We start from the raw sequence: 8,763 nt of genomic DNA on the forward strand, positions 1-8,763 counted from the left end.
GGGTAAAATCCAAAAAAGCTGACAAAATCAAATGCTAGCAAAGATGTGGGGCAATAAGAACTCACATTCATTGCTGGTGAGAATGTAATAGTACAGCCACTTCGGAAAACAGTTTGGCAATTTCTTACAAAGCTAACCATAATCTTACCACAGGATCCAGCAATCGCACTTCTAGATATTTATCCAACGGATATAAGAACTTATGTCTACCCAAAAACCTGCATGTGAATATTCATAGCAGCTTCGTTCATACTTGCCAAAAACTGGAAGCAACCAAAATATCCTTCAATAGGTGAATAAACAAACCATGATATATCTGATAATGATAGAAAGAAATGAGCTATTAAACCTCAGGAAGACATGGATGAACCTTAAATGTGTATTGCTAAATGAAAGAAGCCAGTCTGGCAAGGCTGTATGATTCCAATTATACAACATCTGGAAAAGGCAAAAGTAAAGAGACAGTAAAAAGATACGTGGTTTTCTGGGAGAGGGGCTCACAGAGGTTATGAGTGAAGCCCAGGGGATTTGTAATGTGTTGAAATTATTCGGTATGATACTATGATCCTATAAGGATAGCTACATCAAATTAAGTATTTGTCAAAACCCAAAGAACTTCACAGGACAAAGAGTAAACTTTAATGTATGCAAACGTAAGCAAATCATTTAGAAGGTCAAGGAATCCCAAGGTGGAATGCAGATTGTAACAAAGAAATCTAACTGTATTATAAATGTGTGCTACAATCTCACTGAAAAGGATAGGAGGAAAGGTGCTTAGCTGACTAACTCTAGAAATGAGTAGAAGCTGTGAGACTAAAAGCAAAAGGAATAGTACATAAACACTGTACTCTTGATGCTAAAGTTGTTTCCCATGGGAGCACAGGTTAACAATTCCAATGCTGCTATACATCTATGATAGAAATGAATGATTAAGCAAATGTATGGCAGATGGTGCAAACCAGGTTTCTTCTCACTGTTGGAGTAAGTTTACATATAAACAAAGGGAGAAGGCTAGAATGATACCTGTGGTAATGAATTAGCATTACAGATAAAATGTAAATTCATAGTTAAACATGGATACAAACTGTTACATAAAAATATGTACAGATATGTTCATATACACACATGTATTTCTTGCTTTGTCACATGAGAGAACCTAGAAGCAATGATACCACAGTAGCAACAAGCACACCTAGCACCCAGATCTTGGTTTCTAACACCATTCCCCAACAAAATGATCCAGATTCCTTGGAGAAATGACTGATTCTAGGACTGTGGCAAGATGTATACAGATGAACCTAGAGCATCTCATAATACCAGAAAGTAAGGAAATGCTTCCAAAAAAACAAAATTCACATTGATGGTAGTATGTCAAAGAGGCACTGGAGTCAAGCTGTAACAAAGTAGCATTGTATTATAACCCAAAATATTTAGATAGATAGATAGATTTTATATTTATATAATATATATATATCCATGAGTCCAGAACAAAATAAATATGATTGAGTAAATAAATACATGGGGGAGAAGAGACAAATCTCCCACGGAGAAAAATATCCAAATAATTTATATAGATTTCTACCATCAAAGGGGGAAGCATAACTCTCTACTCCTTAAGTATAGGCTATACACAGTTCCTTCCTTCTAAGAGCACAGCATGAAAAAGGTGGAGAAAAGTGGAAAAATCTGATAAACACTATCTCAGCCAGGTGATAAAGATGAGTATCACAGTGACAAATCATACTGATAGTATATACCCTTGATATGAGATGAAAATGGCACGTTACCTCTGTGATCTTTCTACCAAAAACCTATAATCACAGTCTAATCATGAGAAAAAACATTAGATGAATTCCAATGCAAATGTATTCTACAAAATACCTGACCAGTACTCCTCAAACATCATCAAAAACAAGGAAGTCTAACAAACTGTCACAGCCAAGAGGAGCCTAGGGAGACATTACGAGGAAATACATTTAGTGGTGTCCTGGATGGTAGGGTCCTGGAACAGAAAAAGGACATTAAAAACTAAGGAAATCTAAATAAAGTATAAACTTTGTTAATACTAATGTACTGATACTGGTTCATTAATAGTAACAAATACCAATAATACAAGATGTTAATAAGAGGGGAAGCTGGTATGGGGGTATATAGACACCGTATTTGTAGCTTTCCTGTAAATCCAAAACTTCTGAGAAATAAGGTCTATTTTTTTAAATCCCATTTAGGAATACATCTAGAAAATACTGAAAAGGTTGTAGTGAAGCACTGAAGACCCTTAAACTTTCTTGCATATATTCAACTTAAAATGTTTGCAACTATTCCAATGCAGAATTTTTCTTACAAAAATATTTTCAATCACTAACAGCTGCAAACAATTTCATGTAGTATTAATAATTCCCAGGAGGGATTTACTATAGCCAGAATACTTTAATTAAAATTCCACTTTTTCCCCCGACATACCTCTACAGATGTCCAAAAGTTTGTACCTTATCATTAACTTATGTTGTTTTGTGATGATCCGTGTAACTACCAAGTATGTTTCACACAACTCAGGAAAGCTGAGTTGTATATAAATATTACATAAATCAGTGTTAAAATATTCATCCAATAGAACTTCAAGTATTTAAAGAGACAACTTTTAAAAACCTATCATTTCCTATTCTGGATACTATGTTTTCTTATACAAACCTTGGTTCAAGTGACCTGCTGCAGAATTAAAAGAGGTATGTAAAAGAAGGGAGTAGAGAGAAGAATAAAAAGCAGTAGGGTAAAGGGTGTGAAACAGAGTGTAAGAAAATAACTAGGATTTGGAATGTAATAAACACAAAGTAGAGAGTAGCAAGCCTATGCCATAGCATAGAAAAGAACTGGTATCTGAAAAGAATCAGTATTGATAAAACCTTGAAAGCAGGAAAAAGCTAGAAATAAAAACAAAATAAATCTTTAAGTTTGATCACAAACAAGCAAAATATTCAAAATTAGACATTAGGTTCCTGACAGGAAACAAAAGAAACATCACCCTATTAAGAGTGGGGCTACTAACAGTATAAGTTAAATTACACTTACTGGAAATTACTATATAATATTCAATGACATTGGGAAGTGAAAAAAATTACAAAGAGAATGCACCAAGTCTTGTAAACAGCGGTTATCTCAGAATAGTAGAATTAAAAGCAAATTATATTTTCCTTCTTTTTTTTCTGCTATAAAGTGAATGACTTGTGGTGCAATCTTACAAAGTCTCAATCTGTGTATTCTGCAATAAAGGCATTATATTATCACTATTGCATTTGTGATACATTCTACCTTACCCTTTATGTGACAATTCTATACTGTTTTAACTGTCAAATTGTAAGTAAAAGTGTGAATTCGTGACCAAAAATTTTCCACACCAGCAACTTAAGAACTACAGCAATATGTTTAGAAAACTGCGATCCCAAACAAAAAATCTATACTAGGTGAGACAGGATGACATTGACTTTAATTCCAATAGACTCACTACCACATGACGTCCATTACTAGTGCTCACTTTCCAGAACCCAAGGAGCTGTGGAAGAATGGAGTCCTTTCAATGAAAATAAACTAGAGGCAATACACAACACAGTTACTTTGAGGGGCTTTTTCAATATAAAGAAGATTGCCCGGAATCCTAACTCTCCTATTTCCCAAAAATGACAAAGCCAAAAAGTCACACTCTTCACACATCTGAAATCAAGTTTTACCTGAACTCATCCTAACATATTAGCTCTTTTACCTATTCCCCTTACTATCTAAGGCAAGAAACCTTGAAAAGAGAAGCAGTAACACATTTCACTGAAACATATTTTGTAAAGGAGGATTCTAATTCCTAATCCTTCACCGCTCTAGATGTCTGCGGATTTCAAATCCTAACCACGGCGTCCTGCCCCCCGCGAGATTCCAACAGTACTACGGGCCCTATGGGAGGAGGAGGATTTGAGAAACACTGCCGGAGAACGGTCGGTGCAAAGATTTTGCAAACAGGTAGTCCTAGGAAGGAAAGTAAGAGTGAGAACATCGGAGAGGGCAGGGAGTACATGGGTGGGGAAACCCCTTTCAAATGCATGAACTGACCACAACCGGAGAAAGGCCGTCTGTCTTCCCAAAAGTAAAATGGTGAGTAAAGTGGAGCAAGCTAAGAAAGTCAACAGCCATTAGGCATTGACAACGATTCCGAAACAATTAGCTATGTTAATTCGAGGGGGTAAACGGGGGTGGGACCCTGCCCTAAAGGGTCATTTTGAAAAGAACCCCTCCCCATTTGAGGCGGGTTGGCAGAGCAGCGCACAAATCCCAAGTCTAACGTAATAAGCCGAGATCGGGATACTCGGTCTGCAGTCGCCCCACGGACCAGATGAGCGCAGGTGTATCTGCGGAAGCTCAGGTTACCATGAATATCACTGGGCCACGGCGAACCCTCCCTGCCCAGCCTCCCGGAGCCCTGGGCGCGGGTCTGCACGGGCCCCACAGCTTGCCCGGACCCGGCGAGCGGACGCCTCCGGCCGCAGCGCCCTACCGCACCTGGCTGCCAACACCAGTTGAAAGCAGTCAAAGTGAAGGGAGGCGGACGCGGCTCCTGGCACCGCTCCGATTCCAGCACACAAAGGCGGATTTTTAAAATCGAGAAAGTCAAAGCCGCCGGACCCCGGGACCGGCGCCTTTCGCCAAGGGGCTCTTACCTCGGATCCGCCCTCGGGGCCACGGCTTTCCCCGGAGACGCCGCGAGCCCAGACGAGGTGGGAGGGGACCGGGAGAAAGCCCCCCAATCTGATTCGCGCCCAGCCAGTCGTCCGCGAGCCGCGGAGCCGCCTTCTGCACCCAGCTAAAGAGCAGCGATCTCCGAGGCGAGCACAGCGCCGGCCTCGCGCCGGGCGAGACCGCCTCGCTAGCTGCTGCCTGTGAAGTCTGGAGCCGCCCGCCCGCTCGCAGCCAGTGCCAACCGCGCGCCGCGCATGCCCAGTGCCCGCGCGAGGAACGAGCGAGCGGGCGGGCGGGCGAGTGCGCGCCCCGCAGCCAGGAGCGAAATCCGCTATCCGGGTCTTGCCGGCAGCCGAGCCGCAGAGTTCTGGTCGACTCCAGCGCTTGAGGCGAAGTGGCCGGTGAGGCCGGGTGGGCGGGAGAGGGACCGGAGGAAAGGAGACGGGGCGCTGCGCCAAGTTATCAAGGCCGCGATCAAAGTCGGACCAAGGCAGCGAGTCGACAGCAGGTTTCCAGAAGTGCCCTAACAGGACTGACTAGCAGCCAGGAGGCGCAGGAAGGGGCAAAGAGCGTGTGGAGAGCTTCGCCCCCGGCGAGGATGGACGCCCCGGGCGGAGGGAGCGCTCGGGTTGCAACACCCAGTCTGGCTGCACAGCTCGTAACCCCTGCCCTTTGGCGGCAAACAAGACGCATCTAATGACCAGCCAGCCTTCGTCTTCCTCCTCTGATCATCGGACCTATTTTCCCCCTTTTGTCGCTCTCCTCTTTTTTTGTCTCTCCAACCCATGCGGTAAACTGGTGGTGCCCAAGGCCCTCCATCGGGTCCCTGAGAGTCTCCCAACTGCCGGTCCTTAGCGCCAGCCTGCAAGCCCAGACCCGCCTCGCCAGGCTGCCTGTGAGCCTATTTTTCATGTAGCTCTTGCCAAAAGCCCTGATGTGGTTTGAAGTAGTGGAGGCTTCTTTCACTTTGTGCCTCTCGTACCTTAACCAACCCTCATAACCTCCTCTCTGAGTAGCTCATGGAGCCTCTAAAAGAGAAGTCCATGTTCTCATAGACATTGTGTTTTCTCACTCTTAAAACTCCTCATTGTCATAGCTACTCCCCCAATCCCCCCATGCTGTCCTAACTTCGAAGTCAGTTGACTTCCAGAAGTCCACGAAAGCCTATAAATTAAACTTGGTTAAAAGAGATTGGACTTGCTTGCTTTGTGAAGCAAATAAAAGCACAGTCAGGGAGAAACGACGTAACATGCCAAGGTGGACATTCAAACCATTCTAAAAGTTGGAATCGATATAACGGCTAAGTCCAGTCCCCTATTTTAAGTGGGAATACTCTCTCCAATATTTCCACCAGACCACTATCCACTTGAACATTTCCAATGTTGTAAATTTCTATTTTTATCATTACATATAACCATGATTATTTGTTGAATATTTACCTATGCCAGGAACTGAGCAACTTACACACATTATTCCTAGTCCTTAAAATGAGATGGGCCTTATTATACCTATTAAACACATTAGGAAAATGAAACCCAGAAGTTTCCTTCTTTTTGCCAAAGCCAATGCTGACGCCAGAATTAACAACCAGGTCTGCTTAACACTATAGCCTGTATCATTTATGAACATCAAATCAACTTCCCTGATACTACTGGTCTTGGTTCTGCCCCTAGGAACAACACAATATGAATCTCATTCTTTATAGACACTGCAAGCCTTGAAATAGTAGGGGCAACTATTAAGTAACCAACAGATCTAATACATTTCTTCAAAAATTCTCTTTTAAGTGTTTTTCAAATAGCAGTGAGCTGCCATAATCACACTATTCACCTTGCTTTGAATGTGTTTTGATTTTCATTCTCCTCTCTAAATTGTGCACTGAGAATACAATATTCAAATACAGTGGGCCAAGAACTGAGTTCCAGTTCTCCAGCTGCTGATCAGCCACCCCTTTGATGCAAGCACACACTACCTAGATTCAAACAGAACACCCAAGTCTATTTCACATCAACTAAATTAAACCGTATCTTCCACCTTTCATAGTCTATACTTCTATGTATTTAAATCTTGATTTTTGTTTTATTCTTATTAAATTTTATCGTGTTTGTTTTAGGACACAATTTCAGATAAATACTAGTGATCACTTTTAACATTTGTAAATTTAATAAGTATGCCTTGTTTGGCTCCATTTACGTCTAGTAAGAAACAGTAACACAGAACGGGCTTTAAAAAGGCCTGTGATATTATAAAATATATATTTGGTCTTCATCCCATTTCCAGACATATAGCTCCTAAAATCCTTGAAATCTCCAAAGTGATGAACATCTTTTTGTATTTGAATGAATTGGCTGATGGCTGGGGGCTCCAGCATAGCTTCAGGATGGGGACTGGTCATAGGAAGGACCAAGGCATGATTAGTGTGTTGGAACCTTCAGCCCCACCCTCTAACTTCCGGGGCTGGTTAAGCTGATCACCAATGGCCCATGACTTGATCAATCATGCCTACGCAATAAAGCCTCCACAAAAAAAAAAAAAAAAAGAATGGGTTACATGCACTTCCAGAGAGGGGAACATGAATAACTAAACGGAGATTCCTGGATGGCGGTGCTCCCAGAGAGGGCATAAATCACCCTATGCATCTCTTCAACTGTATCCTCTGTAATATCCTTTATAAGAAAATGGTAAACATGTTTCCCTGAGTTCTGTGAGCAGGTCTAGCAAAATAACCAAACTCAAGGAGGGAGTCACGGGAACCCTAATTTCTAGTTGTTCAGCCAGAAGCACAAGTAAAGCCACCTGGGGCTTTTTTGTTTGGCATCTGAAGTCAGGGTAGTCTTGTGGGACTGAGCCCTCAACCTGTAGGATCTGACATTATCTCCAGGTAGATAGTTTCAGAATTGAATTGAAGACACCCAGCTTGTGTCTGCTGCAGGATTGATTGGTTGATTGCTGGTAGGGGAAATTCTTACACACTTCTTGGTAACCAGAGCTTACAGAAGTCTTCTATGTTGATTGTTGAATAAGAGAACAGAAAAAAACACTTAGGTTTGGGGTTTCTTTTCCCCTGTATCTTCAGACAGCCCACTGCCAAAATAGATCTCCAAGGTAACAGTCATTTATGAACCAACACTTTTCAAGCACTTTAGTCCATGCACCCATACCATAACCAACATGGAGTTCATGAAGGTTTTCTAGATGCTTTGCTGAAATAAAGATTTACTGTTTCTAGCATCCCCAAATCTACTGGTCCAAGAAACTCTTTCAAAAAAAAAAAGGAAGCTAGTTAAATAAGATCTGTTTTCAGATTAACCCATTCTGGTATTAGTGATCCCACTAAAACCATTGTTAATAATCTGGTTTATACTTTTGTTAAGAATCTATGTCAAACTTACCTATTTAGAGTATCACTATACACAAGTTTTTCCTTTTTGAAAATCTCATTAGTATATGTTGGCATTTGGGATGAAAATGATGTAGGAATGATGTAGAATGGAGATAGATACCTGGAGTGAATGGGGCATTCAAAATATGGTGCAGGCCAGGCTCATTGGCTCACATCTGTAATCCCAGCACTTTAGGAGGCCGAGGCCAAACGATCACCAGAGGACAGGAGTTGGAGATTAGCCTGGGCAACATGGCGAAACCCCATCTCTACTGAAAATACAAATATTAGCAGGCTTGGCGGCACACGCCTGTAGTCCCAGCTACTTGGGAGGCTGAGGCATGAGAATCACTTGAACACAGGAGGCAGAGGTTGCAGTGAGCCAAGATCAGTTGACTGCACTCCAGCCTGGGTGACAGAGCAATACTCTGTCCCAAAATATAGGAGCAGAGTCTACAGCTGGGTATAAATGCTACATACAGAAAATGTGGAGAAATTATAATGACTGAATTCTATCTGGGGAGTAAGAGCTATCTCCACATTACCCAAGAGTCAGAATTCTTCAAACATCCCTGTTCACTCCCACTCCCCAATCTGATGTATGAATATAATTTAGGGACTGCTGTGTATACCTCTGTAGACTCACAGCCTTAAAGCCATAT

The 8,763-nt window shown here is 42.0% G+C and overlaps 1 protein-coding gene across 13 annotated transcripts in view, besides 3 other annotated features; it reads right to left on the bottom strand.

Annotated features, from left to right (window-relative positions):
• Window positions 1–4,928, bottom strand: part of EPS8 (EGFR pathway substrate 8, signaling adaptor) — a 169,255-nt gene extending 164,327 nt beyond the window's left edge. For 12 of the 13 annotated variants that reach the window (NR_182221.1, NR_182223.1, NR_182222.1 and 9 more), the window contains exon 1: window positions 4,701–4,928. The gene's annotated coding sequence lies outside the window, so the exon portion shown is untranslated. Of the gene's footprint in view, window positions 1–4,542 lie in introns of all 13 variants that reach the window. The other variant, XM_024448882.2, reaches the window with a different exon arrangement.
• Window positions 3,996–4,075: a silencer, noted in NCBI's record as "silent region_4278". NCBI's record gives its function as "represses an Ori minimal core promoter by ATAC-STARR-seq in GM12878 lymphoblastoid cells {active_cell/tissue: GM12878}" and the evidence as "EXISTENCE:reporter gene assay evidence [ECO:0000049][PMID:35858748]".
• Window positions 4,406–4,525: a silencer, noted in NCBI's record as "silent region_4279". NCBI's record gives its function as "represses an Ori minimal core promoter by ATAC-STARR-seq in GM12878 lymphoblastoid cells {active_cell/tissue: GM12878}" and the evidence as "EXISTENCE:reporter gene assay evidence [ECO:0000049][PMID:35858748]".
• Window positions 4,786–5,135: a silencer, noted in NCBI's record as "silent region_4280". NCBI's record gives its function as "represses an Ori minimal core promoter by ATAC-STARR-seq in GM12878 lymphoblastoid cells {active_cell/tissue: GM12878}" and the evidence as "EXISTENCE:reporter gene assay evidence [ECO:0000049][PMID:35858748]".

Source organism: Homo sapiens, chromosome 12 (genome assembly GCF_000001405.40).
Source record: "Homo sapiens chromosome 12, GRCh38.p14 Primary Assembly".
Classification (NCBI taxonomy): Eukaryota; Metazoa; Chordata; class Mammalia; order Primates; family Hominidae; genus Homo; species Homo sapiens.